Consider the following 14,286-nt stretch of genomic DNA (forward strand, 5'->3'; position numbering starts at 1 on the left):
CACCTGAGGTCAGGAGTTCAAGACCAGCTTGGTGAACATGGTGAAACCCCATCTCTAGTAAAAATACAAAAATTAGGCCGGGCGTGGTGGCGGGCGCCTGTAGTTCCAGCTACTTGGGAGGCTGAGGTAGGAGAATGGCGTGAACCTGGGAGGCGGAGCTTGCAGTGAGCCAAGATCGCACCACCACATTCCAGCCTGCAGCCTGGGTGACAGAGCGAGACTCTGTCTAAAAAAAAAAAAATACAAAAATACAAAAATTAGCCAGGTGTGGTGGTGCACGCCTATAATCCCAGCTACTCGGGAGGCTGAGGCAGGAGAATTGCTTGAACCCGGGAGGCGGAGGTTGCGGTGAGCCGAGATCACATTATTGCACTCCAACCTGGGCAACAGAAGTGAGACTCCGTCTCAAAAAAAAAAAAAAAAAAAAAGCCAAAAGGTGAAGTGAAAGGGTGAAAGGGTAGAAGAAGACCTGTCAGGAACCCTCAGGCAGGACTGACAGGTGTGCAGCCCTGTGCACCACTCCCAAGAGCACCTGGAAGTCCTTAGTGGATAACTGTGTGCATCTATGACATGGCAACTCCACAACCAGATGTGTTTCCAAGAGAATTCTTACACAGCTCCATAAAAGGAGGTATACCAGATGCCCACTGAAGCTATCTATCATGACAACCATTGTGGATTCACACCATTCAGAGGGACACAGCAGTAGTGGGCAAGGGCCAGATGTGCCACAGCAATGTGGCTAGGTCTTACACTACACCGACTTTGCAAGAACTCAAATAATGAAAAGGATGTACCTTATACATAGCAGACCATAGCAGACGGTTGCCTGTGGGGTGGGAAAGGAATGAAATGGTCCTGACATATTAAAGTAAATATATAGGCCAGGCATGGTGGTGCACACCTATAGTTCCAGCTACTCAGGAGGCTGAGGGAGGAGGATGGCTTGAGCCCAGGAGTATGAGACCAGCCTGGGCAACATGGTGAGACTCCATCTCACAAAAATAAATATGTAAGATAGCGGGGGTTGGTCTTGCCCAGACCCAGGATGATCACCTGCCATGAGCAGAGGAGTATGACCATCTCAACCCTCTACACCGAGGCCAAACACAAAGGAAATACAGAATACGGCAAAGAGCCACACACAGGGGCCTGGAACCTTGGTCCCAGCCATGAAACAGTCTACACCCAACATGCAGGTAAATTCATAGGCTGCGCTGGGAGGACACAGATAGAGCTCACACTGGGGCACATGCTTACGCACTGCACCCTACAGGCTCCACAAGCGGGTTCTGAACAAAGGATACCCCTCAGGGGCATGCGCATACTGTGGGGTATAGTCAAGCCCAAGTACCCACCCTGAGGACATCTTGGCACAGGTACACACCCGGGGTGAGTCACAGGACCAGCTGAGGCCAAGGACCTCTAAGAAACCTGCTCAGCCCAAGGCTCAGCAAGCTGGAGCCCTCAGGGTAGGGAGGAGATGGACAGGGGACTAACTGAGCAGGTCTAGGGGGTCCAGCCCAGAACAGGGGATCCCTAAACCCTCTGCTCCAATGCTCTGGCCACCATCTTGAGAGGGCTGAGAGGCCAGAGGGGCAGAGCTATCTCTCTTCCACATACTCTCCTGTGGGGCACAGGCTCAAGCCACCCACCCTGTGACCCACTGGTGCACCCACCTGGCCTCAGGCACAGCACACCTTTCCTCGCTCCACACAAATTTCTTCAGCACGTCAGAGCAGCAGTATTGGTCATCACAGGTACCACAGCAGAAATCTGGACAGGACTCGGGGAAGAGGCTGAGTCCACGGGAAGCCATACACACCTCACCACGTGCTGGAGAGGAGAAACACATCTGTTCACCTGTGCCCACGGGCCAGGCCCCAGCAGACACAGCGCCCTCCCTGGCACAGCCACCAGACCACACACACACACACATGCTGCACCGTCTCTGAGCCACCCTAGCCACAGGCCACCTTCTGACCCCTGGCCACTGCTCCCCCTCAGCCTTGCCCTATCCCACGGGCCACAACAGAGCTGCCCTAACTGGGCTCCCTCTCTCCCTCACCAGTGCACTGGCCTCCTGATAGGAGGGTGAACTTTCTCAATGTGAGTCTGATGGGGCCACACCCTGCTCTCAAACCTCCCCTAATTCCCACTGCTTCAGGATCAAGGCCCGAGTTTCCAAGCAGGGTCTAAACTGCAGAGTCCTGAAGATCACTCCAGCTCTCCAACCTGTCCACACTCCGCTCACATTCTTGCCTGGTTCCTATCTCCTGCCTTTCAACTCTACTCATCCTTCAAGGCCCTACTCCAGGTGGCCTCCTCCAGAAGCTGCCCAGGCGAGAAGTCACACAGCTCAACACCTGCAGGGGACCAGACACTGGACTGTCCCTTTCTTTCTTTTTTTTTTTTTTTTTTGAGACAGAGTCTCACTCTGTTGCCCAGGCTGGAGTGCAGTGGTGCGATCTCAGCTCACTGCAATCTCTGCCTCCCAGATCCAAGCAATTTTCCTGCCTCAGCTTCCCGAGTAGCTGGGATTACAGGTGCCTGCCACCAGGCCCAGCTAATTTTTTGTATTTTTTAGTACAGACAGAGTTTCGCCATGTTGGCCAGGCTGGTCTTGAACTCCTGACCTCAGGTGATCCACCCATCTTGGCCTCCAAAGTGCTGAAATTACAGGCATGAGCCACCGCACCCCAGCCAGACTGTCTAGTTCTTAATCCTCGTTCACTCTCTCCCTCACTCAACCACAGCAACCTCAGCCCCTGCTGGGCACCACAACTGCAGGGGCCTGGCTCTCACAGACCACCCCATAACCATGATGGCAGGCTAGATCCTGGTCAGAAATTGTCACACCCACCATACCAGCGTTCATAAAGCACTTAGCCCCGCGCTGGGCCTGCAGCAGGTGTCCAGGAAATGTCTGTGCCTTCCAGGAGTTTGAGACCAGCCTGGGCAACAGGGCTCCAAGGCAGTGGCACCATCTGTAGCCCTGGAGCCATCACAAGACTCTCAGCACAGAGTTGGGATCTACTGACATCCTTACAAGTCTCAATAAACGAGGTCATGCTGAGGGGATCTGGCTGACAACAAATGTGGAAAATAACCCAGGTTTTTGGATGACCACAAGGTTTACAAACCTCCAGGAAGATGCTACAGTCAAATGTTCCCATGTATCCTCAGGCTACATTAGCAGAGACCTGTGCCCACTAACAGGAAGGAACAGTACCGGATTCTGCCAGGGCAGACTCCAAAGAGAATACCTAGTCCAGCAAGGCCCACAAGTCCGCAGTAGGCAGGGGACAGGTCTGATGATAGCCCTGAGGCATAACTACATCGGCCTGGAAACAGTCTGCCATAGCACGTGGCCTCTGGAGACCCAGCCAGGCCAGGCACCTGGCCATGTGCAGCATCTGGTGCCCGGGCCTGATCAGGACACCACACACCCCGAGGCTGTCAGTAGAGTGAAGCCCAGAGACAGAGACACCAAGTGACCTCCTTGGGAAGAGGGAACTTTAGTGGGGAGTTGGGGGGAACTGCACTTCTTGGCAGCTCCAGGCAGAACCCTGCTCTGGGCAAAGCCATGGAGCAGAGGATTGGACCATTGACAAGCCCAGTTTGGCCAGCTGCCCACCTGAAAGCTGGTATCATCAGCATGGCCCGTGCCTGGTGGCTCAGGTGAACCCATATGCAGCAAGGTCTTCACAGCCCAATCTGAGCCTCTGAGCTAGGGCTGAAGACACACCGGTGAGGCTGTTTAGGCTGAGTCCATGGCACAAATGCTCTCTGACCCCCAGACCTCACTGAATCAGTGACCGACCCTCCTACAGGCTCACTCCAGGAGTGGGCGGATTCTGGGCACAAGTCTCCCCTTTCTCATTTCTCTAGCCCAGGTCCTCTGGATTCATCCCAGCCCCCAGGAAATACAGCCTTCCCCTCCACGAAGCCACCCACCCCAAAAGGGTCTTTGGCTTCCCATGGGTGGGCAGGGGATTGTTCCAATTCCTAACCCTTTAAAGGACCCGCCCCCAGCCAGCCTTCCAGACTCTGTGAATCACCTATCTGCAACCAACACACACAGTGGTGTCTCCACCCCAGAGGCCAGCCTCAGCGCCGGGCTCTACAGGAACACAAGGGCCAACGGAGGCAGCGGTGGGGGCTCCCAGACATTAAACAGAGGCAAAGAGGGAAGGCCTCTGATGGAGGGGCCAGCTCGCCCTGCAGCCACCCGCCAGACTAAAGCCAGGCAGGGAACCCTACCCTAGCCTCTGGGGACTCCATCCCCTGGAACATGGGCGGGAGGGCAGACCCCTCCCCACCGTTCCAGGACAGACAAAGGTGGCAGCTGCCTGGTGTCTAGGCAGGGTTGTTCAGGCAAGGAGGGTGCTGGGGTGGAGGAGGGGTCCGCAGTCGTGGGGGTTCGCTGACGGCCTCGGGGCAATCAGGGGTCAGTGGGGGGCATAGTGGGGCTGGTGCTGCCCGGCTCGTTGGAGAGGCAGCGCGGGGAAGTGTCTGCCCGGTCCCAGGGCAGGACGGGCCGCCCCCACCCCCGGCTCACCACCCGGAGGCGGCGTTAGCAGCAGCAGCAACAGCAACGGCAACAGGATCCGCGGCGCGGGGACCGGCGCAGTCATGGCTGGGCGGGCGGACGGGCGGACGGACGCGAGCGCCGGGCGCAGTGCCGCCACAGCCTCAGTGATCCGCGCGGCCGCCCCTCTCCCTCGCCCCGCCCCGCCCCGGCCCGGCTGGTTCCCGGAACCTCTGTCCGGGGGAGCAGGAGGAGGAGGAGGGAGGAGGAGGGAGGAGGGAGGAGGGAGGAAGGTGGAAGGAGGAGGAAGGAAGGAAGCGGACGACTTCCCAGCCTCGGGGCCAGCTTCGCGCCCGGGGTCTGCGCGAAAACTTGGTACCGGTTCCCAGACTCGGACAGGCGCCGGGCGACGCACGGAGTTTCCTTCTGCTCACCGGATGCATGGGGGGCGGCGGCGGCCCCCAGCTCTCAGGCCTGGAGGGCGTCCCCGGGAATATGCACCCTGACACTGAGCGCCTACTGTGTGGGCTGGGGGACAGCCACAGCCATCCCTCCCAGCCGCAGTCCCGGCGGATCCTCACTTGCCCGAGGGCTACGTGAGGACTAGGTGAGGCGGTGCGAGGACAGTGCCCAGCGCAGACCTTGGCACTCAGTAGACACTCCACAAATGCCGGTTCCCTTCTACAGGCCCAGTCGCCAGCTCAGAGGACACTCGATCTCCTGCCCCCTGGGACTGACACCATCATCCCAAGGTGATCCCCAGCCCCAGCCCTGGCAGGCTCAGCGCTGGCGCAGTGGGCCAGGACTGAGCTAGAAACTGGCAGCTCCCAGGGCACACAGCCAGGCCAACTTCCCACACAGGGCTCCGCCCCCTCACTTCGGGGCAGGGGTCCAGGCAGAATCAGGGATGTTGAGTCATTCTTCCTTTTATGCCCAGAGTTCCTGACCCACCCCCACTCTGCACCTAGCACAATCAGAACATTTCACTCAAGACAGAAAACGTGAAATGTCACACTAGTGGGGCACCCAGGCTGGGTTGTGCACCCTGTGTGCCACCATATATTTCTCACCTAAAGGTGGGGGCATCGCTGTGGACAAAGAGAAACCCAAGGGGACAATCTGGGATGTTCCCAGTAGTTTCCCAGGCTAGGGTGTTAGAACAGGGAGAGGAAGGCCTGGGTCTCCAATAAGCCCCCATCACCTCCTGGCCAAGAAGGGCTTAAGACTCACCGTGCTCAATACACATGTGGGGGGCAGGGATATGACAGTTCCCAGGCAGGATGCCCTCTGGGAGGGTCTTAGTGAGGGACTGGAGTCACATCCTCCCTGACAGCCCAGCCTGGTTATCCCACCTCTGCCTCCTGAGCGCCACTCTCCAAAGCTGGGTGCAGCCTAGGTCCCCCTTCTGCAGAATGGCCAGTGTATGCTCCTCATGTCCAGCTCTAGAGCCATCCTGTGTTCCACACCCTGGGTGCCCAGCCCTCTGCCTCCCTAAAGGTTGCTCATTCCACTCTGCACCATCCACAAGCTTGGTTTCTTGTTCCTTGGTTTTCCAGTCCCTGCCCCCCAGCCAAGCTCCTAAGAGTTGTTCTAAGCCTGGGCAACATAAGGAGACCCCATATCTACAGAAAATTTTAAAATTAGCTGGGTATGGTAGCAAGCACCTGTGGTCTCAGCTACTTGGGAGGCTGAGGTGGGAGGATCATTTGAGCCCAGGAGATGAAGGTTGCAGTTATGATTGTGCCACTGCACTCCAGTCTGGGCAACAGAGCAAGACCCTGTCTCAAAAATAGAAAAACAAGGCCTGGTGCAGTGGCTCACACCTGTAATCCCAGCACTTTGGGAGGCAGAGGCAGGCAGATCACCTGAGGTTGGGAGTTTGAGACCAGCCTGACCAACATCTCCATGTTGGATAGACATGGACCAACATCTCCATGTTCAGTAGAGCCCCGTCTCTACTAAAAATACAAAATTAGCCAGGTGTGGTGGTGCATGCCTGTAATACCAGCCACTCAGGAGGCTGAGGCAGGAGAATCGCTTGAACTCGGGAGGCAGAGGTTGTGGTGAGCCAAGATCGCGCCATTGCACTCCAACCTGGGTGACAGAGCAAGACTCCATCTCGAAAAAAAAAAATGAAAAAAAAAAGAATTGTCCTTTCCCACCTCCTATGCTTGCCTTTGGCTTCTCTACTCTGCTGCCCCCAACCCCAGATCCTTTAGGGGCCTCTCACCTGGCCTCTTCCTCCCTACTTTTTTGGTCTTTGGCTCTCCCATACCCTCTTATCTGCCCACAGCTCATGGTTGAGCTTGGTGGGTGTTTTGGGCTCCACCCAGGGCTGTGCATGGGCAGGAGTGAGTGGAGGCTAGGATCACCCCAGTGGCTTGGAAATCGCAACCATGCATCTCACAGGCATGTGCCCATGTGTGCAGGCATTTTCTGTGGGTCTAAGGGAGGAGACCACCCCTCATATTGTCTTATGCCCCATTTCTGCCTCCAAAGAAAGAAAAAGTAAAAACTAAAAGGCAGAAATGAAATCCACAAGCAGACAGCCCGGCGCCACACCCTGGGTCTGGTAGTTAAAGATCGACCCCTGACCTAATCAGTTATGTTATCTATAGATTACAGACATTGTATAGAAAAGCACTGTGAAAATCCCTATCCTGTTTTGTTCTGACCTAATTACTGGTGCATGCAGCCCCCAGTCACGTACCCCCTGCTTGCTCAATCGATCACGACCCTCTCACGAGCACCCTCTTAAAAGGGACAGGAATTGCTCACTCGGGGGACTCTGCTCTTGAGACAGGAGTCTTGCCGATGCCCCCGGCCAAATAAACCCCTTCCTTCTTTAACTCGGTGTCTGAGGAGTTTTGTCTCTGCAGCTCAGGCTTGCAAAGCCTGGAAATACAAGTTGCCTGGGGAAAGTGACCCCTCCAAGGCAGAAACCAAACTTGGCCCAGATGCTGTACCAAGGCTAGGACTTGGCCCAGATGCTGTACCAAAGCTAGGTGGCTCCCCAAACCTTCCTACAGCTCTGTAAACAGCAATTTTTTTTTTTTTTTTTGAGACAAGGTCTCACTGTCACCCAGGCTGGAGTGCAGTCACGGCTCACTGCGGCCCCAATTTCCCCAGGAAACTGGGGTGATCCTCCCACCTCAACCTTTGGAGTAACTGGGACCACAGATGCACACCACCACGCCCAGCTAATTTTTGTATTTTTTGTAGAAGTAGGGTTTTTGCCATGTTTCCCAGGCTGGTCTCGAACTCCTGGGCTCAAGCAATCTGCCCGCCTCAGCCTCCCAAAGTGCAACAGCACTTTTATCAAACTCTCCTCAAATACCCAGTTTGTTAAGAATGACTGTGTTCTGCTGGGACCTTGGTTACAGTTTGTAGGTGAGAACTCTGCATCAGGCTGGTGGAGCAAAGCAACACCCACTGATGCTTGTAAAGCCCAGGGTGAGAGTAACCAGGTGAGAATGAGGCCATCAGCCCAGCCCCAGGACTGACTGCAGGACCAGATCGGTGAGTTCTACAGTGGAACGCTTGCTCAAGGATCCTTGCCATTCTTCTTCATTCAGCACCTGGTCCCCTTTCCTCCACATCAGAGGAGGAACACGCTAGATATTATCTTTTTCAGATTCCTTTGCCCCAGGGCAAGAGCTTTTGCCCAGCCCCAACCAATCAGATGTAGCCTCCCTGGAGTCAGTCAGGGGTACTGGCCACCAGCTTTGATGGAGGGCTGCAGCAGTCCTGGCAGAAACATGAGTCTGCACCTGTGGGGAGGGCTGTGTGAGTCACAAAGGCCCCTGCTTCCCCCTCGTGGCAGGAGCAGTGGCATGCTCACCAGGCCAAAGTAGCACTGTGGTTTGGGCTGGAGACGATACTGCTTCGACTTGGAACCTTTCTTTCCAGCCGCCTTGTTGGCTCTGAGGGCTCCACAGTTGCTTTTCATAAATTGGGTTTCTGATTAAGTTGGGCAGAGTCAGTTTCCTCCAACTGACAGAGAAGTTCTCACCAGGGCCGGGCACCGTGGTGACTCATGCCTGTAATACCAGCACTTTGGGAGGCAGAGGTAGGCAGATACCTCTTGAGCGCGGAGTTTGAGACTAGCCTGGGCAACATGACAAAACCCCGTCTCTACAAAAAATACAAAAATTAGCTGGGCATGGTGATGCGTGCCTGTATTCCCAGCTACAAGGGAGGATTGCTTGAGCCCAGGAGGCAGAGGTTACAGTGAGCTAAGATTGCACTACTGCACTCCAGACTGGGCAACAGAGCAAGACTCTGTCTCAAAAAAAAAAAACCTAAAAAAAAAAAGAAAACATCTGGACAAGGTGGCTCAAGCCTGTAATCCCAGCACTTTGGGAGGCCGAGGCGGGTGGATAACCTGAGGTCAGGAGTTCAAGACTAGCCTGGCCAACATGGCGAAACTCCATCTCTACTAAACATACAAAAAAAATTAGCCAGGCGTGGTGGCGTGCACCTATAATCCCAGCTGCTCAGGAGGCTGAGGTGGGAGAATCACTTGAACCAAGGAGGCGGAGGTTGCAGTGAGCCGAGATCGCACCACTGCACTCCAGCCTGGGTAACAGAGCGAGACTGCTTCAAAAAAAAAAAAAAAAAAAGAGAAAACTAGGCTGGGCGTTGTGACTCACGCCTGTAATCCCAGCACTTTGGGGGGCTGAAACGGACAGATCACTTGAGGTCAGGAGTTCCAGACCAGTCTAGCCAACATGGCGAAACCCCGTCTCTACTAAAAATACAAAAATTAGCTGGGTGTGGTGGTGCATGCCTGTAATCCCAGCTACTGGGGAGGCTGAGGCATGAGAATCACCTGAATCTGGGAGGTGGAGGTTGCAGTGAGCCAAGATCGTGCCACTGCACTCCAGCCTGGGTAACAGAGTAAGACTCTGTCAAAAAATAAAAAAATAAAAAAAGGGGAGACAGAGAGAAAGAGAGAAATAAAAAATAAATAATTTTTTTTAAAAAATTAGTCCCCATCAGGAATGGTAGCAGATGCCCAGGGAAATGGGGGTGTCCGACTTGTCATCTGCCTGGTTGGAGCTAAAAGCAGTGGAAGTCCAGGCCTGAGGAAGGAAAGGGCTCTGGCAACTTGTGGCAGGCAGAGGAGACCGAGCTGGTAAAGTCACTGCTGGTGGTGTTGCATGATAAAAAACTAAATATTTAGTTTTAGTTCTCCATTCCTCACACAGAACTCCTTAACCCCTTAGAATTTACCATCCTTCTGATGCAAATGAGATGACTCCTAGCAGAGGGCCACTAGATAGCTTCACGATATTGGCCTGAAAGACCAAATAAGTTGCCAGGCCCAGTGGCTCACGCCTGTAATCCCAGCACTTTGGGAGGCAGAGGCAGGCGGGTCACCTGAGGTTGGCAGTTCAAGACAAGCCATGGAGAAATCCTATCTCTACTAAAAATGCAAAAAATTAGCCAGGCGTGGAGGTGCATGCCTGTAATCCCAGCTACTCCGGAGGCTGAGGCAGGAGAATCACCTGAACCCGGGAGGCGGAGGTTGCGGTGAGGCAAGATCGCACCATTGCACTCCAGCCTGGGCAACAAGAGTGAAACTCTGTCTCCAAAAAAAAAAAAAAAAAGAAAAGAAAAGAAAAGAAAAGAAAGAGAAAGACCAAATAAGGATAAGAGTTTTGGAACTTTGAGTCACATCTCCCAAACTCTGGGGAACGGAGGGAGGCTAGAGATTGAGTTCAATCACCAATAGCCAATGATTTAATCAACCATGCCTTTGTAATGAAACCTCCATAAAAATCATTAAATAGTGGGGTTTGGGAGCTTCTGGGTTGGAGAACACATTGAGGTGCAGGGAAGATTGGTGTGCTCGGAGACGACATGGAAGCTCTGTGCCCCCTCCCCTCATACCTTGCCCTGTGCATAGCTTCATTTGGCTTGTTAAAAGAGAAAATTACAATGAGTGGTGGTTGCTTCTAATGGCACCAAACAGCTTAAAGAAAGAGAATGGCATGATGAGGTCAAGTTGTTAGCTGCTTGCAACAAGGCACAAACTGAAAACTTTTTCAACTCTGCTAAAATGAGCCTCTTGCAGCCATGGGGCTGAGATGGCTCAATATCTAACCCAAGGGCTGATTCTGTGTGTTCCAGATTAAAATACTGGTTGAATCACAGCCTCACTCAGTCTTTTTCTTTTTTTTTGTTTTTTGTTTTTTGTTTTTTGTTTTTTGAGACGGAGTCTCACTCTGTCGCCAGGCTGGAGTGCAGTGGCACGATCTCGGCTAACTGCAACCTCCGCCTCCTGGGTTCAAGCTATTCTTCTGCCTCAGCCTTCTGAGTAGCTGGGATTACAGGCACGAACCACCACGCCCAGCTAATTTTTGTATTTTTAGTAGAGACAGGGTTTCACCATGTTGGTCAGGCTGGTCTCAAACTCCTGACCTTGCGATCCGCCCACCTCAGCCTCTCAAAGTGCTGGGATTACAGGCGTGAGCCACCGCGCCCAGTCGTTATTTTCCTTTCATTGTTGACCAGGCTCACTCAGTTTTTCCTGTGAAAGTTAGGCACTGATCAGGACAAAGCATGCCCCTGGGAAACTGGAGCCCACACGCATGTCTACATCCAGTGGTCAGTTCTCTGTCTACCTTCCCTGACCCTCCAGCTTCAGTGACAGGGTGGGACACTCCCGCTTCCATCACACACTCCTCACACTGCTGCTTCTCAAGCTGCACTTTTTTTTTTTTTTTTTTTTTTTTTTTTGAGATGGAGTCTCACTCTGCTGCCCAGGCTGGAGTGCAGTGGTGTGATCTTGGCTCACTGCAACCTCCGCCTCCTGGGGTTCAAGTGATTCTCCTGCCTCAGCCTCCCAAATAGCTGGGACTACAGGCACACGCCATCATGCCCAACTAATTTTTGTATTTTTAGTAGAGATGGGGTTTCACCATATTGGTCAGGCTGGTCTCGAACTCCTGACCTCAGGTGATCCACCCGCCTCAGCCTCCCAAAATGCTGGGATTACAGACCTGACTACTGTGCTGGACCGGGCATTACATTTTGAACCCACCTTCAACTGCCAACCCCAATCCACAGCTTGCTTCCCCCACGGGCTTCCACATGTCCATAAGTGGCAACTCCAGACCTTGGGATTATCTCTCTCTCACATGCCTTCATCCAAATCGTCAGCCAAACTTGGCTCTACCTGAAAAGTATATGCAGAATCCAACCACTTCTCGGCAGCTCCATCAGGAGCTCATTGTCTCTCACATTGCAGCAGCCTCCAGATAAGTGACCTGGCTTCCACTCAGCCCCATTTCAGATCGAGTCTTGATTCTGCAGCAGCCAGAGGAGTTCTTTTTAAACGTTTATCAGATCAAGTCACTCTGCTCAAAACCCTTTCCCGGGCCCCCCATTTCCAAGGCCCCACATATTCTGTATCCCATGACCTCTCTGACCTGGTCTTCCTCCTCCTCGTCTCTCTTCTCCAGCCCCACCAGCCTCTTCTGTGTTTTTTGACTGGGCATAGCCACACTCAGAGCCTTTGCATTGGCTATGGGATGCTCCATGGCCTCCTTCAGCCTTTGGTCACCTTCTCAGTGAGGCCTGCTTGCAACCCCCTCCCATGCCCGTTCCCTCCATCCCAGCACCCTATATACTCTGTGTTTTACTTATTTGCTTACTGTATCTCCTACCACTAGAACATTCTCTCTCTGACAGCAGGGTAGTGCTTACTCCTGTATCCCCACTGCTTGGCACATGGTGGGCACTTAATAAATGTGCTGAATCAGCTAGGCATTGTGGCTTATGCCTGTATTCTGAGTACTTTGTGAGGCCAAGGTGGGAGGATCACTTGAGGCCGTGGGTTTGAGGCCAGCCTGGGCAACAAAGTGAGACCCCCATCGCTACAAAAACAATATTTTAAATAAAAAAAAAAAAAAAAAAAAAAAAACAGGCGGGGTGCAGTGGCTCACAACTGTAATCCCAACACTTTGGGAGGCTGAGGTGGGCAGATTGTTTCCACCGAGGAGTTCGTGACCAGCCTGGGCAACATGGCAAAACCCCACCTCTACAAAAAGAAAAAAAAATTAGCTGGTTGTGGTGGTGTGCACCTGTAGTCCAGCTACCAGGGAGGCTGAGGTGGGAGGATCACCTGAACCCAGGAGGTTGAGGCTGCAGTAAGCTGAGATCACATCACTGCACTCTGGCCTGGGGAACAGAATGTAACTCTCTCAAAAACAAACACAAAAAATGCAAAGAACCCCCACAAGTATGAAATTAATGACTGAAGTGGAATGAAGATACATGAAAGAATTCAGAGGAATTAGATCCCCACCAACCCCTAGCCTCTTCTGCACCTCCTTTGCCTGCTGAAGCAATGTGTCCTCCCCTGAAAGACACCATGGACATCATGAAGGAGTTACCCTGTAAGAGGAAGCTAACTCTTCTCATGGCCCCTCCTCCCAATTCCTTATGATTTCCAGAGCTTTTAACTAGAGAGATATTTCAGCATGTCTGGAGACCCTTTCACAAAGTCAAGCCCAGAGCAGGAGGCTCACATATCAAAAGAGTTGCAAGACTGTTATTTTATGTTGGCCAAAATATAGAGAATATGTGTGGGAACAGACTGAAGTCCTAGACCAAGGAGATAAGAACATAAGTTTATATTGGGCTGAATTTATCAATATGGGTGCACTTAGCAAGGATTTGGATTCCATGCACCAGCTCAAGCTGTTGGGGGTTGTTCCACACGTCTATTTGGTTGGCTGAATAAAAACTGGATCCCAGCCGGGCGCGGTGGCTCACTCCTGTAATCCCAGCACTTTGGGAGGCCGAGGCGGGCGGATCACGAGGTCAGGAGATCGAGACCATCCTGGCTAACACAGTGAAATCCCGTCTCTACTAAAAACACAAAAAAATTAGCCAGGTGTGGTGGCGGGCGACTGTAGTCCCAGCTACTCCAGAGGCTGAGGCAAGAGCATGGCGTGAACCCGGGAGGCGGAGCTTGCAGTGAGCCGAGATTGCTCCACTGCACTCCAGCCTAGGCGACAGAGCGAGACTCCACAACAAAACTGGATCCCACTCAATGCAGTTAAGGTGCCAAAAGTTCCCTGATATAACACAGAGGAAAGAATCCAAAGCCTTAAGAAGATGTATTTATTTTTATTCATTCAAAATAAATGTTGAGGCCGGGCGCGGTGGCCCGCGCCTGTAATCCCAGCATTTTGGGAGGCCGAAGCAGGTGGATCACCTGAGGTCAGGAGTTCAAGATCAGACTGGCCAACATGGTGAAACCCCATCCCTACAAAAATACAAAAAGTAGCTGGGCATGATGGCGGGTGCCTGTAATCCCAGCTACTCAGGAGAGCAAGACTCCATCTCAAAAAATAAATACACACAGGCTGGGTGCAGTGGCTCATGCCTGTAATCCCAGCACTTTGGGAGGCTGAGGTGGGTGGATCACCTGATGTTAGGAGTTCGAGACCAGCCTGACCAATATGATGAAACCCTGTCTCTACTAAAAATACAAAAATTAGCCAGGTGTGGTGGCACGCACCTGTAATCCCAGCTACTCAGGAGGCTGAGACAGGAGAATCACTTGAACCTGGGAGGCGGAGGTTGTGGTGAGCCAAGGGGAAACAAGAGTGAAACTCCATCTCAAAAAAAAAAAAAATAATAATAATAATAATAATAATAATAATAATAAATACATACATAAATATATAAATGAATAAATGTTGGACTGAATTTGTCATGGACAACTCATCTTTTCCCTA

At 52.7% G+C, this 14,286-nt stretch overlaps 1 protein-coding gene across 5 annotated transcripts in view, besides 4 other annotated features; it reads right to left on the bottom strand.

Moving 5' to 3' along the window:
• SHISA5 (shisa family member 5) overlaps positions 1 to 5,353 on the bottom strand; it is a 36,935-nt gene extending 31,582 nt beyond the window's left edge. Inside the window, exons 1-3 of one of the 5 annotated variants that reach the window (NM_001272068.2) lie at positions 4,264 to 4,717; positions 3,638 to 3,736; positions 1,680 to 1,836 (exon numbers count right to left, since the gene is read on the bottom strand). In NM_001272068.2, coding sequence (NP_001258997.1) covers positions 1,680 to 1,819 — 140 coding nt within the window. In that variant the 5' untranslated portion in view covers positions 1,820 to 1,836; positions 3,638 to 3,736; positions 4,264 to 4,717. Of the gene's footprint in view, positions 1 to 1,679; positions 1,837 to 3,637; positions 3,737 to 4,263; positions 4,718 to 4,965 lie in introns of those variants that run through there. The other 4 variants (NM_001272066.2, NM_001272067.2, NM_001272065.3 and 1 more) reach the window with 4 other exon arrangements.
• Positions 4,372 to 4,421: a silencer, noted in NCBI's record as "silent region_14332". NCBI's record gives its function as "represses an Ori minimal core promoter by ATAC-STARR-seq in GM12878 lymphoblastoid cells {active_cell/tissue: GM12878}" and the evidence as "EXISTENCE:reporter gene assay evidence [ECO:0000049][PMID:35858748]".
• Positions 4,432 to 4,911: a silencer, noted in NCBI's record as "silent region_14333". NCBI's record gives its function as "represses an Ori minimal core promoter by ATAC-STARR-seq in GM12878 lymphoblastoid cells {active_cell/tissue: GM12878}" and the evidence as "EXISTENCE:reporter gene assay evidence [ECO:0000049][PMID:35858748]".
• Positions 5,249 to 5,802: an enhancer, noted in NCBI's record as "H3K27ac-H3K4me1 hESC enhancer chr3:48542139-48542692 (GRCh37/hg19 assembly coordinates)". NCBI's record gives its function as "activates a minimal SCP1, AML or CMV promoter by ChIP-STARR-seq in naive H9 embryonic stem cells {active_cell/tissue: H9 hESC(naive)}" and the evidence as "EXISTENCE:reporter gene assay evidence [ECO:0000049][PMID:30033119]".
• Positions 11,686 to 11,886: a silencer, noted in NCBI's record as "peak4641 fragment used in MPRA reporter construct". NCBI's record gives its function as "represses an SCP1 promoter by STARR-seq MPRAs in K562 erythroleukemia cells {active_cell/tissue: K562}" and the evidence as "EXISTENCE:reporter gene assay evidence [ECO:0000049][PMID:32103011]".

This window comes from Homo sapiens, chromosome 3, assembly GCF_000001405.40.
Source record: "Homo sapiens chromosome 3, GRCh38.p14 Primary Assembly".
NCBI classification, from domain to species: domain Eukaryota; kingdom Metazoa; phylum Chordata; class Mammalia; order Primates; family Hominidae; genus Homo; species Homo sapiens.